The 17,762-nt window shown below is 34.0% G+C and overlaps 1 protein-coding gene across 25 annotated transcripts in view; it reads left to right on the forward strand.

Annotated features, from left to right (window-relative positions):
* The window catches only part of RIMS1 (regulating synaptic membrane exocytosis 1), a 516,596-nt gene that overhangs the window by 212,216 nt on the left and 286,618 nt on the right, over nt 1-17,762 (forward strand). For 14 of the 25 annotated variants that reach the window (NM_014989.7, XM_017010517.3, XM_047418419.1 and 11 more), the window contains exon 4: nt 1,210-1,221. The exons of 8 other annotated variants lie outside the window; for them this stretch is intronic. In NM_014989.7, the coding sequence (NP_055804.2) occupies nt 1,210-1,221 (12 nt within the window). Of the gene's footprint in view, nt 1-1,209; nt 3,006-17,762 lie in introns of those variants that run through there. 3 more of the 25 variants (NM_001350413.1, NM_001350411.1, NM_001350412.1) reach the window with 1 other exon arrangement.

Here is a 17,762-nt window from a genome sequence, read left to right on the forward strand (position 1 = left end):
TATATTTAATCTTTCTTTAGGGTCCCATTCTTATGACTCCATAAGTTTTCTTTTCCTCTCCTAATAGTGGTTTGTTATAGGCAATCATCATATGCCACCTTATAGGCTTTCTAAAATAAACTTGGATATTAAGGTTGTATCTGGCACATAGAAAGTACATAAGATCTATTTGTTAACTTCCCCTTCTATAGTGCTCTTTAATACACTATTTTGGAATACATTCTTACAGGTAAAACTTGGAGGCAACATCAAAATACTTAACAACCCATGTGGTAAGGACATTGTTCAGTCTGAAAAGATGTTGGCAGTGAACAATGAGGCGCAGATCAGCTGAGTGCTAGTGCTTGCTAAGCACCCACAACTGTTAAATGCTTTTAACTTCCCATTATAGGTTTGAGACATGCCAATAGCAATACAGTTAATGATTGATATATTAAAGTCATCAGGTCTTAAAAAGGAGAGGGTGTTTAAAGAAAATTGAGGTAGGAGGTACTTACGCTTTGGAGAGGACACTCACGCCTAGTGTAGTTCATCTTTACTAAACCCATCCAATCTTGGAAAAAATATTTAAAGGAACAAAATAAAAGAAAGCACACATCTTAAGATATTTCATTCGGAGCACAAGACAAAAACATTGTATAAAGTTGTTTTTTTCTATAACAAACGTTGAAATGTGTATCACAAATAAATATTGCCTGTGGAATAATTTATTGCCAAAATAGTTAACATATTTCTCTTCCCATTTTTATTTATTATAAACATTTCTCATTCTTTACATTTTCCCAAATTGTGACTATCAATATTTTAACAATAATTTGACAAAATTATTGATACAATTTTATGCATTTTAATAAAATATTTTTCAATAATAGGTAGACTACATGTGGTAGTGAATTAACCTTCTTTATGAAGAATATTTTAAATCTAGATTTACTAATCCAAGTTCTAAAATATTAGGAAATTATTGTGCCTAACTCTTGTATCTAACATATAGCAGGACCCATAATGTTTGCATTTTCAATGAAGGATTGAACAATTACTATTTTTTAGGAAAAGTAAACATTTACTTTTCAAAATAGTTGTGCTTTAATACTTTGAAGAAACACATAATTGTTTTCTTAAAACCAATTTATTAATACATGGCTCAATTTTGTTTTTCTTTTCTTTGTCTTCTTTCTCTACTCTGCTTCCTTGGATGCTTTCCCAAAGGAGGACAAAGTGGTTAGAATCCATACTTTCTTTTCTATCATTTGTTATTGTATTGTTGTGAACTTTATTAAGTGAATGTTGCACCTAGTATTGTTAATAACTATATTTCACAAGAAATTATATACTAGGAAGAGCTCATTTCCAGCTCTCATGAAAAAAATAAACATTTAGGAGCATTACAGAGTTTGATATTAATAGATAAAGTCTGGATAGTTTGAGTTCATGATGACAGTGAAATTTTAATATAATTTATATCATTGCAAGCTCATTTATCTGCTTGACTCTGAGTTTTGATGATTATTCCAACTGCTTTCAGAAACAATAAATTCTAATGGGCTCTACCTTTTTCAGCATGCAAAGGCAGGTGATTTGAAACTTTATTGCAGAAGGAATGGAAAACACTTAGTAAAGGGAATGGATCAAATTCAAGTAAAGAGGCCAAAGTATAATTATTTTTCTATAGAACACAAGTAGCAGAGTTGTCATACTGAACCACATTTTGCCTTTTTCTTCTCTCCTATGAATATGAATAACTTGTTAGGAGAGTAAAAGGTCACTTTTAACTCTTATCAGCTGTAGAAACCACAGAGGCTCTTTGTGCCTGGGAAGATAGGCTCCAAGTAGAATGTTCAGTCAGCCTTTCCTTTGTATAAACACTATACACCTTCATTTGGTGTAAATTTTATACATACTATACACCTTCATTTGGTATGAATTACACCTTCATTTGGTGTAAACTTCCTCGCAGCTCATTAATCTACCAATATGAGAATGAGACAATGAGTATTTCAGGTTTAATATATCAACTGAGCTGCCTTTGTTCAAAAATTTTAAAGCTTATATGATACACTGCAGTGCATAATTAGCAAGTGTGACATTAAACTGAACATTAATCTGTGTTTCTAAATTTACGCTAGGATATGCTTATTGATTTTTTCTATGAAAAAGAAATAGAGTTGAAAAATTATATAGGATAATCTATTTTTGGTATTTATTTTTGTCTGTACCATTGACTGTATGTGGGATAATTTTAGGGGATATTATTATAATGCCAATTTCATCAATATTATTACTTTGGATGAGTTCACAGTTGAAACGTGGGTAAAGTTCCTTTAAAGAGTAAAAGTGTAAGTAAATAATGCTGGTGTTTAGGCAGATTTGGTGATAAAATTTAAACTGCTCTCCTGTAGGGCTGGCCAAACTCACTATCCCTTTGACAGCGTTACCCATAATGGTAGGTTATTTGTGCTTGTTATGATTATAGTGTAATGAGAATACAGGTGGGTTTTGTGGACTCAGACTAAAAATAGAGTGGAAAGACCTGTAAAATATAATCACTTTCAATTATTTTCTTCACTTTGGTTAGAATGTATATATCTATCACTTTATTTTTAAGTACTCTGTCATAATTTCTTTAAACACCATTTTAGCTTATTGAAGGAGTTCAATGAATGGCCTTTCTAGCCAAGGGAAACTGAAGCCACATTTTGTCTTAGCCATGTTAAAGAGAATAACTGACTATTAAATGAAATACTTTATTGCCAGTTCTTTCCCTATTCCTCTAATCTCTTTTATTTTTAGTAGAGAAATTATAATTTACATGTGTGTGGTGTTGGTATGGGTGGAAAGGGAAGAGAGATAAGGGTGAATAAAACTTTTCTAAAAGTAATCTTCATCTTGATCAATATAATAATAATACATTCTACTTGATCTGTTAAATTGGTGAAGAACTGTGATTAAAATAAAGGAGTATGTGATATGAAGTCCTAAGAATAGCTAATTTATAAATGTTTCCTTTGTTAAGCCCGGCAAAATTATTGTCATATTTTCCATATCAGCAATATTTTATTTTAAAACTTCATCCTCAGCCTAAATCATATCTAATAATAACTTGGAAGATTTTGTATTTACTTATAAAGAAAATTGCTGTCATAAAGAATGACTTTGTAATGGGCATATGTAATGGTTGATAAAAGAAAATTATGTTGTCAAGTGCACACTCTCATTGGCAAAATTATGATTATATTTTTTACTTCATTAAAAGCCCTCCTTGAAGCCTAAATATATAGCAATACTCTAAAATTTCCCATAGCCAGTTTAAATTACTTTTATCTTTGTTTTACTATTTGGTGGCAGAGGATTGAATTTAGATAGCTCTCTTGATAATATTTAACACTTTGCTGCTGCTAAGCCAACTGAATTGAATCCTGCAAACTTAATTCCTTTGGGATTTCCCATAAATTTTCATCACTATTTTTTTAGTAAGGATGATTGGTTGATGAATATAGCAACTAAAATGAACTTGCTACGTTTCTTGTTTATCTGTATTTTCACAAAGAAAGTGTCAGGTTTTATAAGTTAAGATTATTCTACAATAAATGTTAGCATTACTCTGAAAAACAGAACCTTACTATTTTCTTATTCTTTCAACATATGAAAGCTGCACATACCTACCTTTTAAGTATCACATATAAAAAATAATTTTTATATCAAAGTAATAACAAGACACTAAATTGACAAAGTTACAATTTTTCAACTAGTTTTTCGTAACTGTCCATTGAAGTTTGTTTTAAGACATCATAATAAATGATATGTTAGTAAATAAATATGCTTTTATAGAAAGGCTTATAAAAGGTGGGAATTGGCTTGGATGGGACAGGATGTTGGCTTGAATGGTATAGTGCCAACTGAATTTGAACCTGGCTGTATTATAAGGTGTTGTCTGTGGGATGGTTGATTCTTAACAGCTTAAAAAAACATTACTCTCAAAGACTCAACTCTTAAATACCAAAGTGATGATTTGTTTCTTTCTCTGGCTAGCATTAAAGGCAACCAAGAAAAATAACCATTTTTAAAATGATTTGCATGATTGCATTAAATATTTATTCTTGTTATGAAAAGTCTTCTCAGAGTTATCCATATTTAGCTCATGGCATGATGAAGCATATGATCCTAATTTACAACCTTCAGTCTTTTGAAAAAGTGATTATAAGAGTTTGCCTGGACCCACTTTTATGTTTTCTTCTTTTTATCTGGATGTTTTGATAGATTTCTCTGACAAAAGTTCTTTTGAAATTCTTCCCAGAAAAATAACATAGGTCTATATAGAAAGTTTATAAATATAGATAAATACATCAATAAGAAAAGTTTAGAATGTATCAAGAGAACTTTCATTTGGCAATTTGGCTGATTAGATTTCACAAGCTGTCTGGTTTTGCTGAGCTTATCCTAGAGAGGAATAAAACATCAAATTGCAGAAACTTTTATGGAAGATAATTCAGAAAGCTGTGAATTTTTAATGACAAATCTATTTTTGAAATTTGCTAGCCTGTTTTTGAGATTTGCTAGCCTGTTTTAACCTCTTGCATTCAGCATTACTATTCTTTAAACTTCGTATGATTATTGCATATTGCATATTATTGCATATTATCAAAGTTCTGGTTAGTCTTGGTTTTGTACCTTCCTGCATCATCTTTTAGTACAGTTATAAAATCTGTTTCAAGAAATTATAATTTTTCAAATCAGTATTAAATAAGGATTCATAGTAGGACTATGGGAGCTGCTCAAGGGTTAGAAAATTAGCCTTTTCTAGTATAAGGAAAGGGCTATGGTAGAAAGAGCTTCCAAAAAGTTAAGGACTATGGACAAAATTCTTGATATTTTTGTGAACATACGTTGTCAAATCTTACGTTTATGTATCTAGGAGTGGAATTACTGGGTCACATGAAAACTCTATGTTTGTCCTTTTGAGGGACTGCCAAACTTTCCCCAAGCAGCTGCATAGCAATAAATGGGGGTTTCAATTTCTCCACATTTTTATCAATGTTTGTTATTGTCTTTTTGATTAGGAGCCATCATATTGCAAGGGAATGAAGTAGTATCTCATTGTGGTTATCATAAAACTTTTTTTAGCCAAAATTATCAAACTTGTTTGATATCTCCAATGATTCAGTCTGTGTGAACTTTTATTCATACATAAAAATGCTTCTAGCTTAGTAATTTCTTGAGAATGAATTTTTTTAAGACATATTCAAAGTTTTAGAAGTTCATTTTTTTCTTCTCTGGGGATTCTTTATTTCTCTAAATTAGAATTATATAGGTACTTATTAATCCGTATAAGTCAATCTAAACAGGAACTCTGAAATTTAAGATTACTTGGAATTTAATATCTGTCTGTCTGGACTAACTATCCCTAGGATGCAAAGTAAGAGATTTTTATGACCAGTTGAAAAGACTGCTTTTTAAGCTCACAAAGAGAACTAGCAGTTTCAGTTTTATCTCTCAGCCATAGGTCCAAGATTAACAGAGAAACTTAAGTGCCTACTTTAAAAGGCTATTCTTTCATGGTGCATAATATATTTTCTCTAGTGAACTTTCAGTAGCATTTGAACAGATGCACATAAATACTGACAACCAAATTTTCTGTCATCTGCCACCCAACTTTCAATATATGCCACATACCTGCCATCCAACAGATTTCATGGACAGGGAGCTCCTGACCACTCAACAGCAGTTACTTATAATGGAGCTTCTGCACCATGGAGCTGGAAATGGGGATAAGAAATGTTGGTAGCCGTTTCCTCTGGGACTGATACTGTAGTCTTTCAGAACTGGGGAGAGAGAGAGCCCATTCACTTGGCCGTACCTACCAAGAATAGAATTTGCATCTTGCTGAGCATGGAGCAGAGAAGAAAGGAAGTTGGTTGTGGCTCAAGTCTCTTGCTGTTCTTATAAAAATTTAGTAGAGTTTCTCTAACAGATGTTTCTACATTTGCTGTATACACTTCAGACAATTTTCAGATACTTTAAATGACTGTTTTTTTTTAAAAAATAATTTTTATTAGTTGTAGTTGTTTTGCTGGGGAGAAGGATCTGCAGAGGTCCTCACATTACCAGTCTGGAGTTACTCAAATAGACTCTTCATAGTTTTGTGTTAATTCATCCATTCACTTATTTATTTATTGAGTTATTTATTTTTGAGACAGAGTCTCTATCACACAGACTGGAGTGCAGTGGTGCAATCACAGCTCATGGCAACCTAAACCTCCCAGGCTCAAACCATCTTTCCACCTCAGTCTCCTGAGCAGCTAGGACCACAGGTGTGTCTGGCTAATTAAAAAAAATTTTTTTTTAAATTTTTGTAGTTATAGGGCCTTCCTATGTTGCCAATGCTGGTCTCGAACTCCTGGGCTCAAGCGATCCTCCTGCTTTGGCCTCCCAAAGTACTGGAATTATAAGTGTGAGCCACCACAGCAGTCTTTTTATTCATTTTTTATTCATTTATTTATTCATTTGTTGGCTTACTGTCATCAGTAGTCTCATATATAATTATTTTTATTTCAAAATTACTATCTCATTCTTTTCAATAAATGCATTTTACATGGTAATTCATGCCAAGATGCTCTCTTTCTGTTCATCTTAATATAAACGTTATTTGTATTCAAGAAAATTCAATTGCATTTCATCACTAAGCTTACTTTTGTTTAACCAAGCAGCCACTAAAATTAATTATTATAATTAAGAGTAAATTCTATTCCTTGGGTTACATGAACTCATTCATTTATTCATTTATTCAGGGATTTTTAATTTAATTTTATTATGACTACATTAGGTTAAATAGTTAATATGCAATGCAGATAATAAACACTTTCTTTTGCAAGTTTATTATTTAATAAATTCAACTTAAAATGTGTATCTATATGCATATGTATACGTATAGTATAACTATAATGCTATGTTGCTGCATAATAATTTTATGAATGTTATATTAAAGAATAAATAGAATTCCCTCAGATTTCCCCTTAGTGTACAGGATGACAACTGTCTAGTAATTCAGCCAGCACCCCACCAAACCTTTTAGTGCCAAAAGCATCTTGTGCTGATTTTCTTATAAGCCTCAGGTCTACTAGACTATGACTATTCCTCATATTCTATTTATTAAAGCAGGTTTGAAGATATTTTTTAAATTTTGGAAAATATGTTCTAAATTTATTAGTTTTGCAGTTACTTTAAAAACTTTAAAAATATGTTCTAAAGCTTGTAACCATAACATGAAATTAGATATGTAGATCTTAAAAAGTCCTTGTTTTTATATATGGCCTTACTAAGGCATTTAACAAATACATTTATTCATTGGCCGATTTATTTTGTTTTTGTATGTATATATGCAATAGTTTTTTCATATGTAAACTTCAACAGCAAATATTTTGTTTTCAGAAAGTAATCCTTTTGAATCACTTTACAATGGTGGCAAAATAATTTTGTGCATTTAATTTATGAACATCTTTGTTATAAAAGACTTAATTTTTATAAAAATCAATCAAGTTGTTTTTATTGACCAATAAAGTGCTGTTACAGCAAATTACATGGGAAAGAGTAGAAAACTAAATCTTTCAGGGAGAAAATAATATGCCTTGTGACTCTTCAACTACTTCTATGGAATTTGAAAATGTCTGTGTCTTTTAAACTACATAGAAACACAGAAGACCAACAATGTCAGTCACTGAGCCAATGTGCAATTATAATGTTTTTCAGTACAAGCTAAACCAGGAATGACAATCACAAGGAGAAGATGCACTTGACGGACAGTATCACAGAAGTTTCTAGGTAGGGCAGTAAGTCAAGCCTCAGATCGGTAGTTGGGATTTTTCTTGTTTTGTTTGTTGCTGTTTTTATTGTTTGTTTGTTTGTTTTATTTTGCTTTTAGACATGGTTAAAACTTGTATTACTTTTTACAATTACTTTGTTAAATTACGTGTCAGACTAGTGTATGATGGTTCCCCTAAAAAATATATCTTCTGAAATCTATGTATTTTAGTTCTCTTTAAAATTTACTATTGCTAGAGATGCTTAAATTGTTATTAGATATCAAAGGACCATTTGGGAGGACTCTTGTATATGAGATTTATGCGTCATATGCAGATTAACTTCACTTACCAGCTATCAATAACTACTAACTTCTCTTAGTATATCTTTCTCTTATATACTTTCATACCTATTTTCAGTTTTTCTCTTTGTTGAAGTACTTTTTGTCAAACTTTTTCCAGTTGATGAAGAGCTGTCTATCAAAGGGTCAGAGCAGCTCAAATGCCATCCTCCATGCAGAGTGCTCCCTGAGTGTACCAGCCAGAATTAGCTCTTTCTGCATCATTTACACTTCATCATTATCACAGATTCCATTTTAATGTGTGAGTTTCTGGCAGGTAAGGAAAGAATATATACACCCTTGAATACTCTGATAAGCACCTGGCTTGAAGAACAAATAAAAGAACATAAAATCCTGGTGGATAATAGAAATGAAACCCCACCAGGAGCGGTAGCTCACGCCTGTAATCCCAGCACTTTGGGAGGCTGCGGGGAGTGGATCACCTGAGGCCAGGAGTTCAAGACCAGCCTGGCCAACATGGCAAAACCCTGTTTCTACTAAAAATACAAAAATTAACCAGGCGTGGTGGCAGGTGCCTGTACTACCAGCTACTTGGGAGGCTGAAGTGGGAGGATTGCTTGAATCCGAGAAGTGGAGGTTGCAGTGAGCCAAGATCGCATCACTGTACTCCAGCCTGGGCAACAGAGTAAGACTCCATCTCAAAAGAAAAAAGAAAGAAAGAAAGAAATGAAATACTAAGTTAGGTGACAGTACTGTTTTGCTTCTTAAAATAGTTCAGTGGTGATGATGTGGTCAAAGGACAATTAAAAACAATGGAACTGGGTAGGGGCCAGTTAAGGGGTTATGAGAAGACATTTACACAAAATATACCAAATAAATTTCATATTTGTTGGGAAAATGCTAATTAAATGAGAGAAGAAATAGGTTCGTTTCAATTCTGACATATTATATGTGTATTAAATATTAATAGTGGTAGCTGCAGTAAATCATTCTTAGAAACTAATGTTTATTAGGCATGTCTTTCTCAAACACTAGATTGATCACAAGGCCTAATTCCTGTGATGTTTATATCAGAGATTACACAACAGCCTTAGCATTTGCTGGTATCAGCCCGATTCCATTCTGTTTTTTTGTTTGTTTGTTTTGTTTTGTTTTGTTTTATTGTGTTTTGTTTTTGAGACAGGGTCTCATTCTGTTGCCCAGGCTCTAGTGCAGTGCCATGATCAGGGCTCACTGCAGCCTTGACTTCCCTGGGCTCAGGCCATCATCCTACCTCACCCTTCTGTAACTGGGACTGAAGTGAAGTCTCCTGTAGCTGGGACTGAGGTGGCTGAGGCCATCTTCGCTTCCTGCAGCTGGGACTACAGGTGCCTGCCACCATGCTTGGATAATTTTGTGTGTGTGTGTATGTGGAGACTGGGGTTTTACCATGTTGCCCAGGCTGGTTTGGAACTTGTGGGCTCAAGTGATCCTCCTGCCTCTGCCTCCCAAAGTGCTAGGATTACAGTTGTGAGCCACTGGGCCTTACCCAGTTCTATTGTTTTTAATTGTTACTCTTTGACTACATCATCACCACTAAACTATTTTAAGAAACAAAACAATACTATCACCTAACTTACTATTTCATTTCTATTATCTACCAGGATCATATATTCCCTTATTTTTTATTTAAACTTCTGTCTTTTCATGGAGATTGAGGAAACAAAAGACTATCCTCCTGCCCTCACTGTGGGTTAACTACAAGTACATGTATCTCATTTTTCCCAATCTATATTTGATTCTATTTTTCCTCTAACTTTGAAACTTTAAAACTAAAGTTTCAGTTTATTTTATTTTATTTTATTTTATTATTATTATACTTTAAGTTTTAGGGTACATGTGCACAATATGCAGGTTAGTTACATATGTATACATGTGCCATGCTGGTGTGCTGCACCCATTAACTCGTCATTTAGCATTAGGTATATCTCCTAAAGCTATCCCTCCCCCCTCCCCCCACCCCACCACAGTCCCTAGAGTGTGATGTTCCCCTTCCTGTGTCCATGTGTTCTCATTGTTCAGTTCCTACCTATGAGTGAGAAAATGCAGTGTCTGGTTTTTTGTTCTTGCGATAGTTTACTGAGAATGAAGATTTCCCATTTCATCCATGTCCCTACAAAGGACATGAACTCATCATTTTTTATGGCTGCATAGTATTCCATGATGTATATGGGCCACATTTTCTTAATCCAGTCTATCATTGTTGGACATTTGGGTTGGTTCCAAGTCTTTGCTATTGTGAATAGTGCCACAATAAACATACGTGTGCATGTGTCTTCATAGCAGAATGATTCATAGTCTTTTGGGTATATACCCAGTAATGGGATGGCTGGGTCAAATGGTATTTCTAGTTCTAGATCCCTGAGGAATTGCCACACTGACTTCCACAATGGTTGAAGTAGTTTACAGTCCCACCAACGGTGTAAAAGTGTTCCTATTTCTCCACCTCCTCTCCAGCACCTGTTGTTTCCTGACTTTTTAATGATTGCCATTCTAACTGGTGTGAGATGGTATCTCATTGTGGTTTTGATTTGCATTTCTCTGATGGCCAGTGATGGTGGGCATTTTTTCATGTGTTTTTTGGTTGCATAAATGTCTTCTTTTGAGAAGTGTCTGTTCATGTCCTTCGCCCACTTTTTGATGGGGTTGTTTGTTTTTTTCTTGTAAATTTGTTTGAGTTCATTGTAGATTCTGGATATTAGCCCTTTGTCAGATGAGTAGGTTGAGAAAATTTTCTCCCATTTTGTAGGTTGCCTGTTCACTCTGATGGTAGTTCCTGTTGCTGTGCAGAAGCTCTTTAGTTTAATTAGATCCCATTTGTCAATTTTGGCTTTTGTTGCCATTGCCTTTGGTGTTTTAGACATGAAGTCCTTGCCCATGCCTGTGTCCTGAATGGTAATGCCTAGGTTTTCTTCTAGGGTTTTTATGGTTTTAGGTCTAACGTTTAAGTCTTTAATCCATCTTGAATTAATTTTTGTATAAGGTGTAAGGAAGGGATCCAGTTTCAGCTTTCTACATATGGCTAGCCAGTTTTCCCAGCACCATTTATTAAATAGGGAATCCTTTCCCCATTGCTTGTTTTTCTCATGTTTGTCAAAGATCAGATAGTTTTAGATATGTGGCGTTATTTCTGAGGGCTCTGTTCTGTTCCATTTATCTATATCTCTGTTTTGGTACCAGTAGCATGCTGTTTTGGTTACTGTAGCCTTGTAGTATAGTTTGAAGTCAGGTAGCATGATGCCTCCAGCTTTGTTCTTTTGGCTTAGGAATGACTTGGCAATGCAGGCCCTTTTTTGGTTCCATATGAACTTTAAAGTAGTTTTTTCCAATTCTGTGAAGAAAGTCATTGGTAGCTTGATGGCAATGGCATTGAATCTATAAATTACCTTGGGCAGTATGGCCATTTTCATGATATTGATTCTTCCTTCCCATGAGCATGGAATGTTCTTCCATTTGTTTGTATCCTCTTTTATTTCTTTGAGCAGTGGTTTGTAGTTCTCCTTGAAGAGGTCCTTCACATCCCTTGTAAGTTGGATTCCTAGGTATTTTATTCTCTTTGAAGCAATTGTGAATGGGAGTTCACTCATGATTTGGCTCTCTGTTTGTCTGTTATTGGTGTATAAGAATGCTTGTGATTTTTGTACATTGATTTTGTATCCTGAGACTTTGCTGAAGTTGCTTATCAGCTTAAGGAGATTTTGGGCTGAGACAATGGGGTTTTCTAGATATACAATCATGTCATCTGCAAACAGGGACAATTTGACTTCCTCTTTTCCTAATTGAATACCCTTTATTTCCTTCTCCTGCCTAATAGCCCTGGCCAGAACTTCCAACACTATGTTGAATAGGAGTGGTGAGAGAGGGCATCCCTGTCTTGTGCCAGTTTTCAAAGGGAATTCTTCCAGTTTTTGCCCATTCAGTATGATATTGGCTGTGGATTTGTCATAGATAGCTCTTATTATTTTGAGATACATCCCATCAATACCTAGGTTTCAGTTTTTAGTGAAGAGTAAAAGTTGTGATCCTAAGATGAATTAGTGGATATGGTGTATAAAAGGTAATAGGGAGTGTCTAAAATAAATTAAGAAATTGTATATTAGCACTTCTTGTGTTTCCACCTCAAAACTATTCTTTAAAAAGCAAAGTAATTTTGATGAGTCTGTTTTGGATGTCTTTAATGTTTCCTTGTATTCAAGATAAAAGAAAAAATTGTATAAAGACATGGATAATTGGCATTGTCTTATTAAAGTTGCTTAGTTCTTTGTGTGGTCTTTTGATCTGTAGGCATGTCTTTCTTTATCCTTGATCATTGTTTCTCAGCTACCTACTTTGACCTCTCCTTTCTATTATCCAATGTATGTTGAATTTTCTGTACCTACCTTCTCATACTTTTTCTCATCATCTTCACCACCTTCCGTTAGTAATATTTTTCAAAATCTCAAAGCTACTCTTATATGATTATTCATCCAGGTAAATTTGAATAATCTGAAAACAAAATTTTGTTGATAGCAGGTTGTCCTGTTTTCATGGAAGAAATGTCTTCTCATAACCCCTTAAGAATATGAATTGCAGTTTTCTTTTTAATGTGATTTCCCCAAATTCTTGTAATACTGTATAATATGGCTGTCTCTTAGAGAAACATTTGCTCTGATTCCTCAGTAAAGTTCCACTTTTTCAAGTTTTCATCCATTGGTTTGTTTTTGGACTTTTATATTGATCTTCTTCTAAATTTTAGTTTTAGATAAAGAGGAGAGTTTTACTTTTCTATGAGTCCCATCTGTCCATTTCTTGAAAAGTCTATGAAAGATGCAACGAGTAGGATGCCAGGCAGCAGGGAGTTCAGGGCAGGGTTTCTGGGAGAGGTCTCTCTCTGGGCCACTCCCACTCTAGCATTCCTAGTCTGCATTCCTTTGGTAGCGTCCTCAGTAGTGTTCAGGGGATTCAGATTTCTTTCCCCACAGTTGTCCCATGGATCATACTTGTCTCCAGCCTCTGGAGGTGCCTCTGAACTTCCAAGTATCTATAACAGAGTTCTAATTGTCCTAGTAAACAGTGAGGAGACCACCAAAGAGGCTTCAGCCTGGTAGTCAAATATATTAGCAGATGTTTAATAAGCATCTCAAATTTAATGTGTAAAACCCAATCCCTGCTTTAGCTCTCCAAACCAGCTTATTCCAGCCTTCTTCACTGTAGCAAATGACTAACACATTATTAAAGTTAACAAAACTAAAAATCTTGGAATCCTCCTGGCCTTTCCTCCCCCTGCATCCAATTCATCAGGAATTTGGCTCTGTCTTCAAAATATATCCACAATGCAACCTCTTCTTACCACCTCCACTTTCGCCAAACTGGTCCAAGACACCATCTAGTCTGGTTTATTGCATTGAACCCCTAATTGGCCTTTCCTTCTCAACCCCTCATCCCCCACCCCACTCCCAAAGACAAATCTGAGCAAGAATAATTGTTTGAATGTGTAAACCAGACCATGCCATGTACATCTCTGCTCAGAACCCTCCAATGGCTTCCCATCTCATCCAAAGTGAAAGCAAAGACCCCTACAATTGTACCCAACACCCTGCATCATCTGTACTCCACACATACACACATCCTCTCCTGTCACTGTCCTATCTGCCTGCTACCTTCTGCTCACTGTATTCTTCCTGGCCCCAGTGCATACTAAACAAAGCCCTGCCTCAGGCTGCTAGCATAACTCTCTTTTCCTGGAACATTATTTCCACTCCTCACTCCCAAACTCTCTTCAGGTCTCTGCTCAAACATTACCTTATCAAAGAGGCCCACTGTAATTACTCCATGTAAAATTGTAGCCACAGCCCAACCATAGAACATCCTTTCTTTTTACCATGTTTGATTTTTCTCCACAGTACTTCACCCTGTGAAATATATATCTACCTCTTTCTTTTCTCATTGCTAGCTCTGTAGAAAAGGGGGACTTTAACTTTGCAGTATTCTCAGTGCCAACAAACTTGCCTGGCACAGGTAGCCACTCTAAATATGTGATGAATATTGAGAAGTAAGTGTTTGACTTCTGAGTTTGTGGAGTCAGCTTCATGTTACCAGGGCAAAGTATCACTTCTAAATTGGCACAATCCCTGTACCTTGAGAATCCCAACAGGCAAAGCCCTGCTGTACCTGGTATGCTATATTTGCCATGGAAAGGTAATGAAATAAATGAAATTTGCAGCCACAGGGCAGTGTGCAGAGTCATGGTATAGTTATTAAAGGCTTTTTCTGCCCTCACCCACTTCACCCCCAATCTATCCTTGCTCTAGGATCATGTGTCATTTAGTTTAGGGTTCTCTGGGGAAAATCTGTTTATTTCAAAGCCTTCCATTCATCCGTCTTGGATCATGGATTGACCATTGTTTTACTAGGCTTGATTCTCGTCTGTATGACTTCCAAAATTTTCTCAAGGTTTCTACTTGATTAATGATTTCCATCCTTGTGGCATGGAATATGTCTATATTTTATTCTTATTTTTATGCTTTTATAGCATTTGAAATATTAGGAAATTGTGTTTTTGAACTGAAACTTTGTTGAGTAATTTTGATAAAGTTGAACTTTTGGAAAAATAATGAAAGGCCTTGAATAGAATAGTAGCCCTCTGCCAATTGAATAACTTTTAGCTTTTATGTTGACATTTTACACGATTAATTTTTAAACTTTCTTTTGAATTCTAGAATAAGCAGCAAAAAAGAATTAAAAATCACTTTTTTAGTAAATATATTCAAATATTACTTTAGTACTTTTATTTTCTTTCTTATAAACCCCAAGTGTTTTTTCTTCTTTAATTCTTAATATTTGCAACTGTAACTGGGCTGATCACCAATTAGTGAAATTCAGTGAGTTTGTATCCTAGTGACTGCAATGGGAAAATACACAGCAAAAATGCAAATGATATTGAAATATCAAATAAAAATATAGGATTCTCAATTAGTGGTTAGTCCTATGCAATAAATGCTATATGCAAGACACTTTTTAATCATTTCACTCCTTGCCCTAAAATACATAAAAAGACACCAATAATGTAACCTGTAGTATATTCATTTTTTAATAATGAGACTGTTTTATGAACTATAATTATGTCAAATATCAAATGAACATTAAGTAATTATTCTTTAATGCATCTCAAAGTTATTTTAAAGAGAAAAAAGTTTCAAATGTAGAAACTCATTGTTGAACTGTAGCTACTTTGTCATTGGTGAAGTAAGATATTGTGATGATTAGAGAAAATGAGGAAATTAGAATTTGACTTGACACAATGTAGTAAATGTAAGTAAGTCAAAAATATACTTTTATAATTTGTTTTTAAATTTGTGTATTATTTTAAATGTGTACAGAGTAGTTTCTAATATGCATTATTTCATGGAATTGTATTCGCACTGGAGTCGTATTAGTTATTACAGGCAAAATTCTTTATAGGTATATAAGAAAAGTGAGGCCAGAGAAGTTTAGTGATTTTCTATACATCATAAAGTTGACAGCATGTGGTTGAAAATCCAGGGCACATACCTCAGAGCTCCTGACTTTTAAAATAAGATCATTTGATTAATTTATGTCAAGATAAATTATTGTTATAAAAATTTTATGCTGCTTATAACAGATTTTAAAGGAAATATCAAATTTTTTTTGTTAATTCCTTCACTTTGCTGTTTGCTTGGGTGACATGAGCCATGCTTAATTTTCATGGTGCTTTTGCTCAGCCTTTATAGTGCTGAAAGTATAGTAAGCACTCAGTGAACTTTGAATGAATGAGTGAATGAATGAATGGTACTTCTCTGTACCTTTTTTTTCCTTAATTATGTTGTTTTGAAACTCCAGTGTTTAAAACTATAAAACATAATTTTGTATTTTAGGATATGTTTCCTAAAATAAAATCATTAGAACTGTACTTAGCTATTGTTGTGGAGCTGTCTTATCAAACCTATGATCTCTGGCTTTGCATTCTCTACTCTATTCAGATTTTATGGTATGAGAGGGATGTTTGGTCTTCTTCCTCACACAAAGTTCTAGAAGATACTTGAGTTGAGCAGAATAAAAAGAGGCTCCCACCAGCTTTTTTGTTTATCCATGTCCAAATATAAATTACCTACTGAACGCTGCATATATGATAAGTGGAAACAGATAAATTTTATTGTTTTGGACCATTCACTCAAATCTTTCAAGTAACCCAGTTTCTGTTTCATGAATGTTTCTTAATCTTACACTTCTTGGTCAGTGATTTATTATTAATTGGAATGTATTGCTTAAATTCATACCTTTGATTGGCATATGAGTTTGATTACAGACATTCAATTTTCTTAGACATACCTAAAATAGCACATTTTTAACAAAGAATAGTATTATTAGAAACTGATTTCATCCATTATTTTAATTCACTTTTTTATTAGAAAGAGCATCTATTGAGAATTCTGTGACCTAAATACATAATGTATATAGTATTTTTGCTATCCTTCGTATGTCAATCAAATGTACAGTGTCAAGTTGATGAATTTACAAAGCGATTAAATTTGTTACCTATATTTGAGATTGCCTTTATCTAGGTTTGTCAATGCTCTGTAAGAATTTCTTCCCGCTTAGACTTTTGGTTAATGCATTAGAAAGTATTTGAGTAAATATAATTTTCTAAAATAATATTATTCCATAATAAGTTACCCTATGTTTTTGTGATTTTTAAAGGCTTTTGCTGGTGTTATTTTTGCTTTTTAATTTCAGGAAGCTAAAACTTTGTAACAAATTGTACTATGTGAATTGGATATAGCAAATAACTAATTTCCTACATCTCACTCAACTGTGGGGTTAATATTATTTAATGTATGGTATATATGCAAAAATCACAGCTCGAGGTTCATTAATATCCTTTATTTCTTTTTTCATATCTTTTATTTCTTATATTAAGATGCTTTCATTTGAACCCAGCTTTTTTTTGCTTGCATTCACAGAAACCTTCAAAAATATCTTTAAAATATTTCATTCTAAATTGTGTTACAGATATAATTGTACATGTTTAAACATATTTTAGAACTAGAGACTATGGCTAGCAGAAATAATTCTTACTGACAATATAAATATGTAATTACTATATATTTTTGTTTAGGAATAGTATACATCTTTTCTATTCCTACTTAATGTATTTCTTGTGACATTGCTGAGATGACTACTGAGGCAGTCTGGACTAGAGTGAGAAGCACTGCAGTGAATGCTAGAGAATCTGAGTTTAGTCACAATCTAAACTGTCTTCTAAGGATTGGCAACTCACTTGAAGTATCTCTGCCTCAACTTTTATACAGAAAAATAGGCAGTACCCAACACCAGTTCTCTTACTGTTTGGCTTAGACCATGGTGAGCTTTATTAGGTTGGTAACAAGAGTCATCAAGATGTGTAAGTACAGATGTTGGGGGAAGGGATGTTGTCACATCAGAAACTAATTCTGAGTGGGGGTCAAGGTGTACAAAAACGAGATGAAAGAGAACTAGCTCAAAGACCATTGTCAGAATCCAAGAAAACTGGAAGTAGTCTGAAGACAGTTGTACTGTTTCATATAAATGTAACACAGGATGCAGTTCCACAAATTTATACTCACATGATTTACTCTTTCAAATCCCCACT

The sequence above is a fragment of the Homo sapiens genome, chromosome 6, assembly GCF_000001405.40.
Source record: "Homo sapiens chromosome 6, GRCh38.p14 Primary Assembly".
Classification (NCBI taxonomy): domain Eukaryota; kingdom Metazoa; phylum Chordata; class Mammalia; order Primates; family Hominidae; genus Homo; species Homo sapiens.